The sequence below is a fragment of the Homo sapiens genome, chromosome 2, assembly GCF_000001405.40.
Source record: "Homo sapiens chromosome 2, GRCh38.p14 Primary Assembly".
Taxonomy (NCBI): domain Eukaryota; kingdom Metazoa; phylum Chordata; class Mammalia; order Primates; family Hominidae; genus Homo; species Homo sapiens.
The window spans coordinates 171,812,190-171,831,231 of record NC_000002.12 but is presented as its reverse complement, the minus strand read 5'-3'; the positions used below and the strand labels follow the sequence as shown (position 1 = coordinate 171,831,231).

General features: G+C 37.7%; 1 protein-coding gene across 3 annotated transcripts in view; it reads left to right on the top strand.

The window, feature by feature from the left end:
• SLC25A12 (solute carrier family 25 member 12) overlaps nucleotides 1-19,042 on the top strand; it is a 110,840-nt gene that overhangs the window by 63,013 nt on the left and 28,785 nt on the right. For all 3 annotated transcript variants that reach the window (NR_047549.2, NM_003705.5, XM_047446142.1), the window contains 3 exons: nucleotides 4,350-4,434; nucleotides 16,030-16,111; nucleotides 17,735-17,893. Coding sequence is in view for 2 of the 3 variants with exons in the window: in NM_003705.5 (NP_003696.2) it covers nucleotides 4,350-4,434; nucleotides 16,030-16,111; nucleotides 17,735-17,893 (326 nt within the window). In the remaining variant the exon portion in view is untranslated. The remainder of the gene's footprint in view (nucleotides 1-4,349; nucleotides 4,435-16,029; nucleotides 16,112-17,734; nucleotides 17,894-19,042) is intronic.

The following is a 19,042-nucleotide window of genomic DNA, read 5'->3' as shown; positions in this document are numbered from 1 at the left end:
GTTTTTCCCAAGGAGTCCCAGGCTCCCTTAGGTCCTTTCATGGGCATCAAGAGTGGCAAGAAGATAGACCAGGGAAATAGTCCAGTCAACTGAGAAGAAAAACAAAACTGTTGTAAAGATGGATAAACTGAGGCACAACGCAGTTTAAAAATTCACGTTCACATAGAGCTAGGCTACGCAGCTCGCTGCTCAGTCACTGATGCACTTGTGTGGTAGCTCATGGTGTACTTCACCAACAGGTTTCCTGCCCCCTCAGAGCTTACAACCTGGGTTTCATTTCCTGCTCTACAGCTATATAATTTAACAGTTTTCCTCTCAATGTGTTGGATTCTAACCCTATATATCTCACATTTTATTAATATTACTGAATCTTAAAGGGAGCCATGATGTCTTTAATCCTCAGAAATATTAAACAACCTGGCTGGGTGTGGTGGCTCACACCTGTAATCCCAGCACTTTAGGAGGCCAAGGTGGGCGGATCATGAGGTCAGGAGTTCGAGGCCAGTGTGGCCAACATAGTGAAACCCCGTCTCTACTAAAAATACAAAAAATTAGCCAGGTGTGGTGGTGTGCATCTGTAATCCCAGTTACTCTGGAGGCTGAGGCAGGAGAATAGCTTGAACCCGGGAGGTGGAGGTTGCAGTGAGCTGAGATTGTGCCATTGCATTCCAGCCTGGGCAACATTATGAGATTCCATTTCAAGAAAAAAAAAATATAAAGCAACCTGTAAACAAAGGAGTACATGAGGTTAAACAGTATTCAAATTTCTTTATGCTTTAAAACATTGAGAGAGTATATTGAGAAACACACCTAAGAAACTGCAGTCAATCTACTGTGAACAAAAATTTAGAGAATATCTCTTCAAAATAAGCTATCTAGTGGTATTTATACATATTCTTACATATATCAGCAGTGTTTTACATGCTTGTAACGTTAAACATAATTGAAAAGTGTCAAGATTATAGGGCTTATACATTTCTGTGGGCTTGAAAATGATGCAATATAGATTATTTGTTTCTATAAAGTAGTCAGTAAAATGTACAAACTTCTAAACGGAGTAATAACTAACAAGAGAGTTCATACTGAAGGTAGTAATACTAGGAACAAAAGAGGGCTCAACACTGCCTTCAGGAGAGAAAGGGTCCAGATTGGTATATTTTCTAAAGGCTTCCTCCAGCCTGCCATAAAACACGGCTAGATTTTCCTCCTTGCCCTGTGCAACCTCCCTTACTTTATCATAATTTACTGCCTTAGTTATTCCCTTTTTCATTCCTCCAAGGAGAGCCTTAAGAAATTTGGCCCAGTTGTTCATTCCCATGGGGGTGTTATAGTCCCAGTTAGGATCAGTAGCGGAGACTGTGTCTGGGCCTGGGCAATTACCCTGAGGGTTTTGGGCAAATAAATTGTCTGCTTCTCGGCAAGTGGCCTCAAAGATTCATTCCTTTTCCAACAGGGTGCAACAAGTTGCTGGAATGAATTGAACGTCTCTCTATGAGAGATGAAAGGCTAAGGTCAAAGCTTGGAACCTATCTGCAAATTTTCTGGGGTTCTCTGAATAGCTTCCTAGCTTTTTCTTTACATTGTTGTATGTTATTTATGGAGAAGGGGACCTACACTCAGACCAGCCCCTCGGCTCCTGCTGCTTCCCTAAGGGATAGCAGGGCTATAGAGGTAGTTGAATAGAGTGTTCCCCTCTGAATGTGAGGGGACTTAGCAGGGCCCTTGGTTTTAGCTCTTGGGTTTGAGCCTCAGAAACACTTGGCAAGGGGTTATATGGGGGTGGTTGCCATTGCCCCTGAGAGACAGGTGGCCCTTGCAAAAAGGAGGTCATCCACAATATCCGGTTCTGCCTTAGAACCTGCCCTTTTGGGGGCAGGTTCTGGGAGTTTTGCAGATGGTTGGGTTTTGATATAGGGCCATGAAGGCCTGCACATATGGGATTTCTGACCATTTACACTGCCTTTTGCAAAATAGGTCTAATTGCAGGATGGTGTTGTAATTAAGACTTCCATTGACTCCCCATTATTCCTGGCTGTCTAGCTAATTTTGGGGCCATACAATATTATGGTTAAAAAAAATCAGATGTTTTCTCCTTAGATTGTCAGGGTCAAATTGATTCCAGTGGTTGAGAATGCAGCCAAGTGGGGAATCAGGTGGAATGGATGGAGAGTTGCCCATAGAGGTCTGGAAGAAAGAAGAGAACCTAGCTTATTTGGTGACTCAAATTTTACCTGGGGCATCCCCCTGGAAAAACTCTGGGCCTTGATTGGGGTCCTCAGGGGTGTCCCCCTTTAGGGCCCCATCTTAGTCTGTCAGATGTCTCTGACCTTAGATGGGTGATGGTACCACTTTGGGAAGGTTCTCTCCACCACTGATGACCCACTGTGAGCTTTCCTTTTGTCCCTGGATGAAGGCCTTGTCTTCTAGCATCCATATAATTTGATAAGGCCATGGTTTCCTGTTCCACTGGAGTGATAGCCATGAACTTTAATAATAGGAACTAGAGGTTGGATGGATTTCTTTTGTCATGTGGATTACAGGTAATCTCAAGGGGGGAAAGGTAGATTTTGGGCATGAAAAATGAAATAATAGTGTTGGCTATTCCACTCAGGCCCTCGACAAGAGAGGGAATGTTTAAAAATCCACCACCATGACAGTGGACCCTGTGTAAGGGCAGGCCATTCTATAAAAATAATCTGGTGATGACAAAAGAAACAAGATGTAGAATGTATTCTAAAGATTGTGGGCCCCAAAAGTCCTCAGCAAGTTGAATAGATTGAGTAGGATAAGGGAAGTCAAAACATCTAAGAGATATCCTTTGCCATTACAAGCTAACTCTTTAGGAGAATTTGACATAAGAAAAGAGGGCTTAAGTTGACTGAAACATCTGTGAGTTTGTTCTGGAAGAGCTGCCACTGCCAATTTCGTCACATGTAGGGATTAGGGACTTTAACTAGGAAAGATAGAAAAGAGTACTTCCCCATTCTGGGCAGGGCAGCTATCCCCATTCACTTCTTGGCCTTCAGGTAACACCAGAGAGTGGCTCTGGCTAGTTGCCCTCAATTACCAAGGATCTACTAGGAAACAGCCTCTGAAAGACTGAAAAAAAGAAAAGGACTCAGGTCCCTCACCCAAACCAGGCAATGGTGGTCAGGTGCTTCCACATGGATACCTTTCAGTCTCCCGGGAGAGTGGACCTGGCCAGAGACCTGCAGTTGCCTTCATGCTTAGATGCTGTCTGTGGAGGGTCCCGTGTTGGAAAAGGGAAAGAGAGCAGAAAGGGTTCCCCTCTGTGGAGTGTAGGGAGCTCTGCATGGAGATAGCTCTAGCCTGTGCCCGCAAATGAAGGCTCAATAGAGAGGAAAAGAAAAAGAGCAAAAGCAAAGCAAAGAAAAATAAATCCCCAAATTTGGGCTTACCTCCTGGCTGACTTGCCAAGATATGTTACCAGTGGAGGGTCTTGACTACAAGTTGTCCAGTTTCTTGGCATATTGAACAAAGAATTGGACAAAACGCACAAACAAAGCAATAGAAGACAAAAGCATAGATGTATTGAAGCAAAAGTATACTCCACAGATCAGGAGCAGGCTTGAGCAAGCAGCTCAAGAGCCCTAGTTGCAAATCTTCCGGGGTTTAAGTACCCATTAGAGGTTTCCTATCGGTTACACCCTATATAAATGAAGACTTGGCCCACAACCAATCGGAGGCTGAAGTGAAGGCTCAGCCCGTGATCAATTGGAGGCTGAAGTGAAGGCTCAGCCTACAACCAATCAGAGGCTGAAGTTACATCCTACGCAAATGAAGACTTGGCCCATGACCAATCAGAGGCTGAAGTGAAGGCTGCCTGTCTCCAGACCCTATTCTCCTGCCTAAAAATGGGTCAAAACTCAAAGGGTTGGAAAGAACATATCGTTGGAAAAAAAAAAAAAGTCTCCCTCATACCCTTGTTCCTTTCCTTCGAGGCAACCAGTATTTATCAGATTTATGTGTATCCTTCCCAGATACTTTGCGCCTGTCCTTTAGATAGGTATCCTTGGGGACACATTTAGTGGGTAGGGACAGTCAATCTCTATACTTTTGCTTCTGGCAATAATTATTTGATTTTAATATCTATCACTGGAGTCTTACCAAATTCATGCACTCCACATTATTTCTCTGGAGTCTTTTGCTTTTTGTTGATGAAAACAGAGTTAAAAGGTTTTTATTTCACTAAAATGATCTGTGTAAATAGGGAAGTAATGATTTTAAACTATAGTTCACTGTTTTTTGTTTTTTTTTTTGAGAAAAGATGATTTTGGCGTGAGGAGTTTGTCAGTGTCTAACAATTCTTTCCTATATTTTTCCTGAAGGCGCTTGACTTTGGCAGATATTGAGAGAATAGCCCCATTGGCTGAGGGGGCCTTACCTTACAACCTGGCAGAACTTCAGAGACAGGTATGAGTAATCTCATAAATATGATCACCTTAAAAAAATGCTGAACTAGTAGACTAAATAGGAGCTGACAGCTTCTGAATGCTGTAAAAATTAAAAATTACTTTCCAGAGAAAGACTTTACTTAGCTTAAAGATTACCTTTATAGAACTACTGTTACCCCCACTTTTATAGAATATATATATATTTTTTGAGATGGAGTCTGGCTGTGTTGCCCAGGCTGGAGTGCAATGGCGTGATCTCGGCTTACTGCAACCTCTGCCTTCTGGGTTCAAGAGATTCTCCTGCCTCAGCCTCCCCGAGTAATTGGGATTACAGGCGTGCACCACCACAACTGGCTAATTTTTGTATTTTTAGTAGAGACAAGGTTTTGCCATGTTGGGCAGGCTGGTCTTGAACTCGTGACCTCAGGTGATCCACCTGCCTCGGCCTCCCAAAGTGCTGGGATTACAGGCATGAGCCACCACACCCAGCCTATAGAATATTTTTATGAGATAACTAGATTTATATTTGTGTTTTGTTTTTTGTTTTGTTCAGATAAGGAAAATAAGAGTTCAAACATACATGGGTTTGACCCCGTTCCCCTTAGAATTAGCATTCTTTTCATTTGCCTCGTCACATTTAAAGATTAGTGTTAGGTTTACTTTGTATCATTAAACTGATATTTATAGGGTTTCTAAAATTAAAAAACTTCCCTCAAATTAAATAAATCATTCACTGGGATTGTGCCTTACAGATTACAGCCAGGAAAAAAAAAGTAATTAGTGAAACCAGAAAGAAAACCCTGACTGTTAATTACATTTTTGATAAATATTACTTTTGGTTTTTATAAATGTTAAGAATGATTAAAACAGTAGCTTCTGAGTCCTATAAAATTAATACAATCCCATTTCTGATTTTACAAATACTATCTTGGTAAGAAAAAGAAAATCCATGAAATTACCTTGAAGAGTGGAATGGAACAGTTTTTAATAAATCTCGTTTTAAGTTGAAACTTCCACTTCTATAGCACTTAGGAAGTTTCAGTGGTAGCAGATGATCACATTGCTTTTGTGTGTGGGTAAGGGTTAGGAGGGCCAGTCATTGTCCTCCTGGTACTTTCCTGCTCTAATAGACATGGAACCTGTGTTCCTCATAATTCTCTAGGAGAGTGTGATGCCATACTAGGCAAGGCGACGTGGGGAGGGCATGGATAAAGAAGACAGGATACAGAGAGAGAGAGAGAGAGAGACAGTTACTAAATGTGCATGCTATAGAAAGAGGCTATGTCTGCTCTTTCTTCATTGCTGCCACATTGGTGAGTAGCCAGGGTTGGCTTGCTGTTATTGTTCACCTTCACCAAATGTGTTAATGAAACATCAAGATATGTTTAAGTGTAGTTCGCTTTGGGAAGACTTGGTTAGGAAACCTTTCTTCTACTTGAGCTCCATGGAATGATGATTCTGCCTGTGAAACTAATTAGAATTTACAGTTCTACTTTACATAAGGAACAAGAACATTTTGTAGTCAGGTTGAAGTAAATTGAAAATGGAAAAGAAACCATTATATCTGCATTTTGTATTAATACTTTAACTGTTTGCTTGATGTGTAATAAAGCTTCCTACAGATTAAAATATGTTGTAACTCATTGCAATTTAGCTTCTTTTGTATCAGAAAAACTCTTTTATCTGCTGCCATCAAAGTTTATTTCCAGGCTGGGTACAGTGGCTTATGCCTGTAATGCCAGCAATTTGGGAGCCTGAGGCAGGCAGATTGCTTGAGCCCAGAAGTTCCAGACCAGCCTGGGCAACATGGCAAAACCCCATCTCTACAAAAAAAAAATGCAAAAAATTAGCCAGGCGTGATGGCGTGTGCCTGTAGTCCTAGCTACTTGGGAGGCTGAGGAGGGAGAATCACCTGAGCCCAGGAAGTTGAGGTTGCAGTGAGCGTGACTGTGCTACTACACTCCAGCTTGGGCAACAGAGTGAGACTCTGTCTTAAAAAAAAAAAGAAAAAAGTTTATTTCCATTAGGAGGTCTCAGATCCTTTAAAAATAGATGGATTTATTTCAATTCAGTGATTTTAAAAAAATAAAATTTTATAAAATTATGTTTAATAAAAGGAAAGAATGTGAAAAATTTTTAATAAAATTAAGAGACATTGAAATATTTAAAGAGCTCTTACTGAATTTAATTTTATTTTTTGTAGCCTATACATCTGTGAAAATTTGCTCTTGAATTTTGAAAAATTGCATTTCAAAAGAAGATATTTTGCAGTGTTGCATGTGTCTATTGATATAGCTCTCCCTGGAGGTTTCCTTAATATTTGTAATTGGGGAATATTTCATTTAGCTTATTAAAAACATTGAATTTAAAAGTCTCAACTCATTTCTCCTCCTCAGTTTTTCTGCTGCTTACTTTTCTATTCACCCACCTCTCTTGCCCCTAGCAATTTTCCTAGAGGCCATATCTGAAGCTTGTTTTGCAATCTTTGGCACCCTGAGTCTGCATCCTTCACATTTCTTCATCCTTAGGAAAGTGATGTAATTTTGCTACTGCTGTGAATTCTTTTTAAGACAGATTCAAGATGATTTGCCTGTCTTCAGTGGCAGCGCTGATGCTTTTATGCTGGGATGGGTGGCCTCAAGGGTCTTTTCAGATATTTAGGAAATGGGCAGTGATAAAAACCACCATTTTCTTCTTCCCTGGGTCTCTGATTGGTATCCAGAGTGATGGGGAGTGCTTTCTCTGCCTTTCCTTAACCAGTGAGATAGTACAGGGATCTAGAATTTCTGGAGAGCTGGTAGAAGTCTTAGGTATTCTTACATTGTCCCCAAAGGAAGAACCTCAGAGTCTCAGGACAATTTTTTTTTTTTTTTGTGGAGACAGGGTCTCACTCTGTCAGCCAGGCACAATCACTGTTCACTGCAGTCCTGACCTCCCCGGCTCAGGTGATCCTTCCACCTCAGCCTCCTGAATAGCTGGGACTGTAGGCATACACCACCATGCTCAGCTAATTTGTTTTCAGTAGAGACAGGGTTAAGCCATGTTTCCCAGGCTGGTCTCAAACTCCTAAGCTTACATTAATCCACTGATCTTGGCCTCCCAAAGTGCTGGGATTACAGTGTGTGTGAGCCACTGCACTCAGCTAAAATGTTTGATGTTTCCTCTCACATAGAAGATAGTCTTTCTACTGAGGATTAGGTACAGAGAAATAAAAATTAAGGTCTTAAGTGTATATTTTCCTGTACATTATTATAGGAACAAAATCTGAGAAAATAGAACTCAACAGAAATAATAAATAATTATTAGAATTTTATAGAAACAGATTTGTGAAGGTTAAGGATTCAGATTAATGTCCACTAATGGCCATTGTGAAATCTGATCTTTACTGTCCTTGAGATTTGATACAAGTTTATTTGGGACTCAGTTTTCCCTTTAATAAAGTGAGTATCTTCATGTATTTCTGAGAAGCCTTCAAGCTCCTGCATTCTGTAGAATGGTATGTATCAATGGATTTTATTTTCAGAATTCTAAATTTATCCTCCTTTTTCCTTTGTAACATTTAAAATTTTATAAGGAATACAGGCTGGACTCAAGTAGAATAATATGAAAATATGCTTAAGTTCTTATAGCAACCAAAGTAATGGAATAAACTTTCTTCAATTTTCAGCCTTGAAAAAACATTCCTCAGTTAACATATTTCAGGTTTATGAGGCATTGTAAGGCAGCCATATAGACTACAATCCTAGTGACTCAGTTTTTAACATTCTTTAGTTCACAGAATTTCAGTAATGCTAACCTTAACTATTCCCATGTTACTTCCAGAAGATATCTTGATTTGATTCTCTTGTAATTTTTCCTATATTGCCAAATTAGAAGTACATAATTACTTACATTTATTATGCAGAGTATTCCCTTATATGAATCTATTAGAAACCTAAATATAAAATAGGAAGAAGGATATATGTCTTGTTATCTCACCTTATGAAAGTTGTTATGAAAACACTTGTTTATGATGGAGAATCTGTGAGTCCAGAACTAGAAGTTATGAGGGAGAGAGTAGTTAAGAGCCTGGCCACTGATTATGTAACATCCTCTCATTCTGTTTCCTCATTTATTAAATAGGGACAGTATGCCAGGCACAGTGGCTTGTGCCTGTAATTCCAGCACTTTGAGAGGCCAAGGCGGGCAGGTTGTTTTGAGCCCAGGAGTTTGAGACCAGCCTGGGCAATATGATGAAACCCTGTCTCTAAAAAAACATACAAAAAATTAGCCAGGCATGGTAGTATGCACCTGTAGTCTCAGCTATTTGGGAGACAGAGGTGGGAGGATTGCTTGAGCCCAGGAATTTGAGGCTGCAGTCAGCTGTGATCACACTACTGCACTCCAGCCTGAGTGACAGAGTGAGACCCTGTCTCAAATAAATAAATAAATAGGGATAGCAGTATGCATCTTTATAGGATTGTTATGGGAATTACATGAGTAATAATACACTTACATTAAGCCTGACACCTGCTAAGCATGCAATAAATGTTAACTGCTATTATTGTGCTTATTACTGTTATCAAATATGAGAAGCCCATATAAGCAAACTCCAAGATGGGCTGAAACATATATGTGACACAACTGCTTAATCTACCCTCATCTACTTCCATTAGGTAGAAGGGGATGGGAAGTGAGGAAAAAGTATTAATATATCTTTGTATTTTTTAAGTGCCTGAAATGTTTTATATTTTAATTTTTTGATGCTGGCTGAAATTTTACCAGGCCTGTTTTTAAAAATTTTTAATTAATGATGGATATTCAACAAGGAAAAAAAATCACTACCCCATACCATACACAAAAGTCTTTTCCTGTTCCTAAATGTGAAAGATTAAAGAGGATAACACAAGATATTCTATTTATGATCTGGAGATAGGCAGAGATTTTGTGAATAGTACAGAACACCAGTCATAAAGAAAAAGATTAATAAGTTAAACTTCATTAGATTTAAGAACTTTTATCAAAATATACCACTAAGAGTGTGAAAAGACAAGTTACACAATAGGCAGAGATATTTGCAATAATTTAAATAATAGAGGATCTGTATCCAGAATATATAGTATAATAAACTTGTGCAAATTTATAAGCAAAAGGCAGGCAATGCAATAGAAAAATTGGCTAAATACCTGAACAGAAACCTCACAAAAGAGGATATCCAAATGGTAAGGAAAAATAATAGAAAAGTTTAATATCATTAGTACAAGAAAACACACATTAAAACTGCAATGGGATGCTATTTTATACTATCCAGATTGATCAAAATTATACTCTGACAATGGCAAGTGTTGTTCAAGAGGTGAAGGAATGGAAATTGCTAGCATCACAACTTTGGCAACTATTTGTCAGTACCACTGCAGTTGAAGAAACACATACCCCGTGACCTGTTGGTTCCTCTCCTGGGTGTAGTCCCTAACAAAAATGTTTACACATGTGTGTTAAGAGATATGTACAAGAAAGTTTAGGCCGGGTGTGGTGGCTCACACCTGTAATCCCAGCACTTTGGGAAGCTGAGGTGGGTGGATCACTTGAGGTCAGGAGTCTAACATGATGAATCCCCATCTCTACAAAAAATACAAAAAATTTAGCCAGGCATAGTGGTGCACACCTATAGTCCCAGCTGCTCGGGAGGCTGAGGCACGAGAATTGCTTGAACCCAGGAGGTAGAGGTTGCAGTGAGCCAGGAATGCGCCACTGCACTTTAGCCTGGGCAACAGAGGGAGACGCTGTCTCAAAAAAAAAAAAAAAAAAAAAAAAAAAAAAGAATGTTTATAGCTGCGTTATTTGCAGTTGCAAAAATATTGGAATCTAAATACTCACCAACAGTAGAACGGATAAATATGTTGTGCTATTAAGATGACCTACAGTGAGAGAAATGGAAATTTTGATTTGAGGGAAGTGAGATAAAAGAGGAGGTGGGTTGCAGAAAGAAGAGGATGTATATTTTTGAAGCATGTAACAGTTTGGATATTAAAACCAGGTTATAGACCAATTTTGGTCCTATGTGAAAATGGGAAAACAAACCTTCTCTTTTTCTTTTTTTTTTTTTTTTTGAGACGGAGTCTCGCTCTGTCGCCCAGGCTGGAGTGCAGTGGCGGGATCTCGGCTCACTGCAAGCTCCGCCTCCCGGGTTCACGCCATTCTCCTGCCTCAGCCTCCCAAGCAGCTGGGACTACAGGCGCCCGCCACTGCGCCCGGCTAATTTTTTGTATTTTTAGTAGAGACGGGGTTTCACCGTTTTAGCCGGCATGGTCTCGATCTCCTGACCTCGTGATCCGCCCGCCTCGGCCTCCCAAAGTGTTGGGATTACAGGCGTGAGCCACCGCGCCCGGCCTCTTTTTCTTTACTGTATATTACATAATTACTTTTTTCAACTGTATGGGATAAATGATCTGTGATAGACCTGCTTGGGTATATATGTACTTTCTTTAAAAAAGTTTTGTTTCTATGGGAAATTATATTAAAGCTATAGGCCACTCACTAAAAAAACTATGGAATATAAGCTGGATTGTGTTCTGTCAAAACATCATTAGAATTATTAAGAATTATTATTTTAACTTTTAAGTTTGGGGGTACATGTGAAGGTTTGTTACATAGGTAAACGTGTCATGGGGTTTTTTTGTACATAGTATTCCATCACCCAGGTATTAAGCCCAGTACCCGATAGTTATCTTTTCTGCTCCTCTCCTTTCTCCTCCAGTCCTCCCTCAAGTAGACCCCAGTGTCCGTTGTTTCCTTCTTTGTGTTCATAATAAGCTCTTATCACTTAGCTCCCACTTATAAGTGAGAACATACGGTATTTGGCTTTCTGTTCCTGTGTTAGTTTGCTAAGGATGGTGGCCTCCAGCTCCATCCATGTCCCTGCAAAAGACAGGATCTCATTCTTTTTTATGGCTGCATATTAGAATTACTTTTATCTTTATTTTGTGTATAGCGTTCCTTAGACATAGGACTTTGTTTTCTTTGTGTAATTTGCATTTCTGTGGACCTTCTTTGAATTTTGGATTCATGAGCACATATAGGAAGACATTACTGTCCATTTAGGAATTCCTTTTTTTGGAACATTTTACCTCTTTCACCTGTGATATTTTACCACAAATGGAAGTCTGTTCTCAAAAAGAAAGTTAGGTTTATTTATTAGTCTATTATTAGCTATTATTTATTAGTCATTTAACTCATTTAAATTTAACTCATTTAAATTATTAGATTTGAAGACTTAACTATAGTCTTTAACACAACTTAACTCCCTTTTTGCTGAGAGAAAAATATGTATTGTTTAGCATTCAGGGGAAAATTATATATATATTAATATATATAATATATAATAAGTATTATATATTATATATTATTATGTATATAACATAATTATATACTTATATAATTATATAATATATATTATATATAATATATTATATATAATATAAATACATATATAATAATATATATAATTATATATTATGTATTATATATAATTATAATTCTATATTATGTATTATATATTATGTAAATATATAATGTATACATTATATATATTAGTATATATTATATACATATATAATATGTATTATATATTATATATTAATATATAATACGTATTATACATATATAATACGTATTATATATCATATATTTTATATTTATATATAATATGTATTATATATTATATATATATTTTATGTATATATATATTTTTCCTTCATCTCCTTCTCCTATACTGTCATGGCTTTAGGTTTTAATCTTACTTTTTAAGGCCAAGAATATTGAATTCAAATCCCAGACTATTGAAGTCATAGATGTAGTTTGCAGACAGAAAAATTTTGTTTTGTTTTCTCTAGCCTTATTTTGCCATTCCAGTCATACATTTTTGTTTTTATAGAATCTAGCCTTTTTTCCCCCTTCCAATGCTTGATATAAAAACTTTAGCTATTTCTCCCTTTTATTCTACCCATTAATAGTGTGTCATTTGAAAGAGGTAGTTCTCCCTATTGAGTTGGCAGTGTGGTTTGGGCAGGTTTGACTTGTTAACTGACATAATCTTGCCTTATCTAATGCATCATCACTGCTCACTGCAGCCTCAACCTCCCAGGCTCAAGTGATCCTTCCACTTCAGCCTCTCAAGTAGCTGGGACCACAGGCATGTACTACCATGCCTGGCTAACTTTTGTATTTGTTGTAGAGATGGAGTTTTACCATGTTGCCCAGGCTGGTCTTGAACTCTTGGGCTCAAGTGATCTTGCCTGCCTCAGCCTCCCAAAGTGCTGGGATTACTGCTATGAGCCACATCACTAGACCTAATTCTCACTTACAAAATGAGATACGTATAACAAAAAAATGAAGAGAACATCTCTTTAAATGAGGTCTCAACTTATTTCCTATCATACACATATGCTTAGGGAGTAGGTTAAAAATCATTTAAGATTCTCAACTCTTGTTTTGAAAAACACTTAATTAACCTTGTTAAATATCAAACTTTACGACCATAATCATAACCTTAAGGGAAAGAGCGTCTTTTCCTTTGGCCCATTTGCTCACGGCAGGCAATCTTCTTAGTGCTGAGTGTTTTCCTTCAGCCTAAATGCTAAAAATTCAGGACACAGTCATTAATAGGGATGACAGCGGTAGCATTTCATTTATGAATATTCATGAAGTGAAATCCATAGCATTAATTACATTAATTTACATACCTGAATACAAGTGAGCCATAAGTGATAACTAAGCCTTAAAAAAATGTTGCTAACCATATATTGTATGTTTTCTTTTAAATGTTATTTAATAAGGGTGAAGGTGACATTTCTGTCAAAAGGCATTTGGGTATTTATAGTTAGAAATGTTTTTAGCAAAGAATTAAAGCACAGTATAATCCTTCAGTTTTCATAGGATTTTGTAGGGCTTATAAACATTCTTTAAAGGAAGAAAGTATACAGAAAAATATATGCAGTTGAATACAGGAGAAACCTTTTATATGAATAAGGGTATTAGTGGTTACTTGATGCTTATTTAGGATCATAGGCTTTTTATTCTGTGAGTTTTAATTCAACATATTCTTTTGAAAGGATACATGATTGAAAATAATTCATAATCTATGAGAATGAAATTTATTTTCATCCAGTTTTGTGATTGAGAAACTCTAAGTGGGGGAAATAACATTCTACATACATTTTTTTTTTTTTTTTTTTTTTTGAGGCAGAGTCTTGCTCTGTCACTCAGGCTGGAGTGCAGTGATGTGATCTCAGCTCACAGCAACCTCCACCTCCAGGTCCAAGTGATGCTCCCACTTCAGCCTCCCAAGTAGCTGGGATTATAGGCACCTGCCACTATACCTGACTAATTTTTGTATTTTTAGTAGAGAGAGGGTTTCACCATGTTGGCCAAGCTGGTCTTGAACTCCTGAACTCAAGTGATCCGCCCACCTTGGCCTCCCAAAATGCTCAGATTACAGGTATGAGCCACTGTGCTGGCCCAGTGCATTTTTAAAGAAGTTAAAAACGTATGCCAATGTGTTTAGTAGGTAGCATAATAGCTATATTGATTTTAAAATGTGAGCTAAAATGCCTGTCTTTGTTTGGACTCCTATTACAAATTACCATAGGTGGTTTAGATAGCAAACATTTATTTCTCATAGTTCTAGAGGCTAGAAAGTACAAGATCAAGGTGCTGGCCGATTCAGTTACTGGTGAGGGCCCTATTCCTAGTCTGTAGACAGCAGGCTGCTTGTTATATCCTTGTTATAAGAGGGAGAGATAGAGGGAGGTCGTCTTTCTTGTGTCTTTTCTTATAATGGCACTAATCCTATCATGAGGGCTCCATTTTCATGACCTAATTACCACCCAAAGTTGCCACCTTCACATCACATACAATCACATTGGGCAGTAGGGTCTCAACACATGAATTTTGGGGAGTCACAAGCAGTGAATCTGTAGCAATGCCATAACTTGAATTCCTTCAAAGTATATGAGATTAAATATCATCATTGCCTTGAAAGGACAGATTGTGTATATGTTTTCAACTGTTGTCTTTGAAACAAAGTATCAGAATTAACTGGTTAATCAACATTTTAGAAACTCATTGAAGCATATTCAGTTAATTATACTGAAGCATATTCAATATAGTGGGCCCTCCATCTGCTTGAGTTTCATGTCCTTGGATTCAGCCAACTGTGGATGGAAAATATTTGGGAAAAAACAAACAATAAAAAATAACACTACAACAATAAAAAAATACAAAATTTAAAAATACAGTATAACAACTATTTACATCTTATTTACCTTATATTAGGTATTAGAAGTAATGTAGAGATGATTTAAAGAATACAAGAGGATGTGCATAGGTTATGTGAAAATACTACACTATTTTAGATAAGGGACATGAGCATCCATGGATTTTGGTATTTGAAAGTAGTATCAGGAATATTTTTGTGCCAGGTGAGGTGGCTTATGCCTGTAATCCCAGCACTTTGGGAGGTTGAGGTGGGAGAATAGCTTGAGCTCAAGAGTTTGAGACCAGCCTGGGCAACATAAACAGACCCCATCTCTACAAAAAATTTAAAAATTAGCTGGGCATGGTGGCATGCACCTGTAGTCCTAGCTACTTCGGAGGCTGAGTCGTTGGGATGGCCTGAACCTGGGAATTTGAGGCTGCGGTGAGCCATGTTTGTGCCACTGCATTCCAGCCTAGGCATCAGAGTGAAACCCTGTCTCCAAAAAAAAAAAAAAAAAAAAGGAATATTTTTGCATTAATTAATAAGTGAAATATAAAATTACTTAGAAATATTTATCTCATTCTATAATTTCTATTTTTGTATATACTTTAAAATACATCTTATGTGTAATTTTATAATGTATATTAAGTTTATGTATATATAATTAAGACGTTGGCAAATATGTGAACTTTTTATTTAGTTTATTCTGTCATTTCATACTGTTTACATAGTATAGAAGGTCTTTTCATAGTGAAAATATTAAAGAACAAGACTGACACACTAGTATAGACAAGTTATCTTAGATCCTTTCTTTATGCTGTGGGATACCTGTGAAATAACATCTGGTGGAATTTTTCTCTTTTTTATTATTATAGATTTTTATGTTAGAACTGTGGCAGTAGTCATTAGAGATGGTAGATTATGATCAATATTCTCTGATTTAAGAATCAAGTTAATTTTTATACACTTTAGAAAGCTTTTTAAATTTTAAGTTAGTTAAAGAAGGAAAAAAATTTTATAACTGAAATGCTTGTTTACCTGAAAGATTCACTTCTGTAAACTGATAGTGTATTCCCCCAACAGTAGCAGATAAATGAGGCATTAATAGGCTTGTAAAAATTGGGGTAAGTGGGAAGCTACTGTGTATTTGGCCTAACATGGTTTTTAAATGCTGACAATAGAGTTATCTATTTTTAAATACATTGCTTTCATTTTTGGCTGCATGAATATCCTATTTTCTTCTTTTAGAAAAGATATTACTGCATTAACAATATCACTTTTAGGTTTTGTTTTTTCTTGTCTTAAAATAGTCAAATTGTAGCTTTTTCACTTGCTGTGTGCGCTTTCAAGATTTTTTTTTACCCGTTTTCTTCTCTGCAGCAGTCTCCTGGGTTAGGCAGGCCTATCTGGCTCCAGATTGCCGAGTCTGCTTACAGATTCACTCTGGGCTCAGTTGCTGGAGGTGAGTGACATGTCTGTGTGCTGTTTGAGGCTTGTGTTAATGTAATATTATCTCACCAGACTGAGGCAGATCAGCAAAGGTGCAGTTCATTGTTCCCATGGGTCACGACTTCAGGGCTTTCTGAAGTGTTCTTTATTTTTACCTATGATCAGGAGACTTGTCGTAGCAATGGCTATGACCATCTGGCTCCAGTCTGTCTTCAGGACAGAACCTCTGTAATGATGTGAAAGTCTGGGATGCAGTGCTGCACTCACCTTAATTATACTGGCTAAGGCCAGTATGAAAAAATGGAAAATGAGACTGTGTTTATGGGACAGGTTAAGAAATTGAGATTCGCTATTATCCTTAGCAAACTAACGCAGGAACAGAAAACCAAATACCACATGTTCTCATTTATAAGTGGGAACTAAATAGGAGCTTATTATGAACACAAAGAAGGAAACAACAGACACTGGGGTCTACTTGTGGGGGAGGGTGGCAGGAAGGAGGGGAGCAGAAAAAATGACTGTTGGATGCTGGGATTAATACCTGGGCGATGAAATATGTACAACAAACGCCCGTGACACGTGTTTACCTATGTGACAAACCTTCATATATACCCCACACCTAAAATAAAACTAAAAAAAAAAAGAAAGAAATTGAGATTTGGGATATGAATCCCAGAACCTCGTGAAATAAAAGAGCCTCTCAAAGTGACCCAGTTTTGCTTTTCTGCTTGTATGTTTTCCTTTCCCTTATCGCTTGCTTAACAATATCTGGACTTGATGTTTATTTGCAAAAATGAACCTCCCTTCCCTCCCTGTTCACAGCCAAAATTTGAGAGACTGTTTTTGCTTAAATACTCTACTTAGAAAATGTGTACAATCTGAAGTTGCTTTGTTGAGAAGAAGCTAGCAGGTGTGATTAAAATGCTTACGATTTTTTAAGATAAGCCTGAACTCAAAAGACTTTTTTTTTTCTTTTCACTCTCAGTTTTAGAAGTTGCAAACCAGGTTTTGGCTTTCAGCAGTCAAAATGTGTAATACTCTCGTTCATGTAAATAAATTTTCATTCCCTGAGAAATTCTAAAGCATAGCCATATTTTCTTTTAAACCAAATTCTATACATAGGGATAGGATAATGTTGAAGTGTGTTTCTAATATTATGGTTGTAACTATGATTAATTTACCAAGATGCTTTATTAAACTAAATTTTAAAATCGTAGCCACCTAGTGTACGGATATAGTCATTTTAAGAAGTAACTGGCATAATATTTAAGCATTTAATGGAAAATATAAATAAATGTTATACATAATAGTTTAATGTTGTTACTATAGAAAACTGAGTGTTGATTATCTAATTTGGGAAGTGACTCGATAATCCACTCTGTAGTTTATGAACCTACGATATCAAAGAGCATTCTTGACAGTTGTTTTCTGAAGCAGCTGTATTTATGGATTTCAGTGCTTGCTATAGCCTGCTATCCCTAAGGTGTTTGTGAGGGAAAGAAAAATAATAAACTCTCTTTTGTGAGAATACATGTTGTGTTTTATTTTCTCATCCTTTAAGATAAGATTTGTCATCCTTATGGACTCTCCATTTAATTGTGTTCTTTTTTAAGCCTAAAAATTGTTCTGTTTGTAGCTGTGGGAGCCACTGCAGTGTATCCTATAGATCTGGTGAAGACCCGAATGCAAAACCAGCGTGGCTCTGGCTCTGTTGTTGGGGAGCTAATGTACAAAAACAGCTTTGACTGTTTTAAGAAAGTCTTGCGTTATGAGGGCTTCTTTGGACTCTACAGGGGTGAGTAAGCAAATCCCAGCTGCTGAAGTTAGTGATTTGATCTCACCAGCAGCAGATTTTAACTCACTAATTATGGAAGCCAATATGTAGTATGCCTAGCCAGACTAGGTCTGTTTCTCTCTTTTTATTTTCTCTTTGCTCATTTCCCTTTTTGCATTCTTTCTGGTGATTAGCAATATTAATCTGCAAATAAGGTCTTCATTTCTTCTTCTTGTGGTTTATATTTCTTGGTGTCCAAATTATGTGTTTGTCCCAACATGGGTCTATGTCACCATGCTCCTACAAACCAAGGCACATATCTGCAGGTGGAATACAAGGATGATAGTTAAGAAATATAGAGCTGCTTTTCTCAAAGAATTAAAGAGGAGAAATACATCTCTTTCCTGTGAAAAAGAATCCAGGTTACCACTCAAAGATGAGTTTACCCTCCATATATTTATTTCAACTGAAATAAATATCAAATGTTTTTGTCTCTTTCAGGGACCATTTATAAATTTTTTCCAATGAGCCATCTGAAGGTTTAAAAAAAAAAAAAAAAAGGAAAACCCTTTGGTTCCAAGTCTAATTCTTGCTTCTTTCCCCCACTTAGCTCAGAGGTGTACAGTCAAAACAGAGAGATTTTCTTTCGCAGGGAATGTTAGCAGCCACTCTAGACTGAGCACAGTGCAGTTGGCATCAGAGGCAGCACTGCGCCCCATGCAGAATTTTCCCCACCCCCCGTTGTCTTTGTAGGAACTTGTCTCTTTGGAGAGAGAATGACTTTCATGTATGTGTTTTCACATTAGAATATAGGGTTTCCTTTGGGAGGGAGATTAATTTTTTAATCTCTTTGGGCGCCACTTGGGATTCTATGAAAATACTCTCTACATGCTCAAGTCCATGCCATTTATGTAATTTACTGTACTTGTTTGTTTGCACATACAAGCTCATTAATCCCTAGCCTATTCTGAGCTCTGTTGAACTATTTGGCTTAGAAATCTTCCTAAGAAAGACTGGGCCCGAACAGAGCTTTATGCTCATGGACAGGAGGAAAAAAACACCGCTGGTTAGCATTATATACAGGTATTCAAGCAAAAAATATAACTCCGATAAACTCATAATTGAAGTAGAGGGTCACAAGGATGTTCATTTTTAGCATTATATATAGAA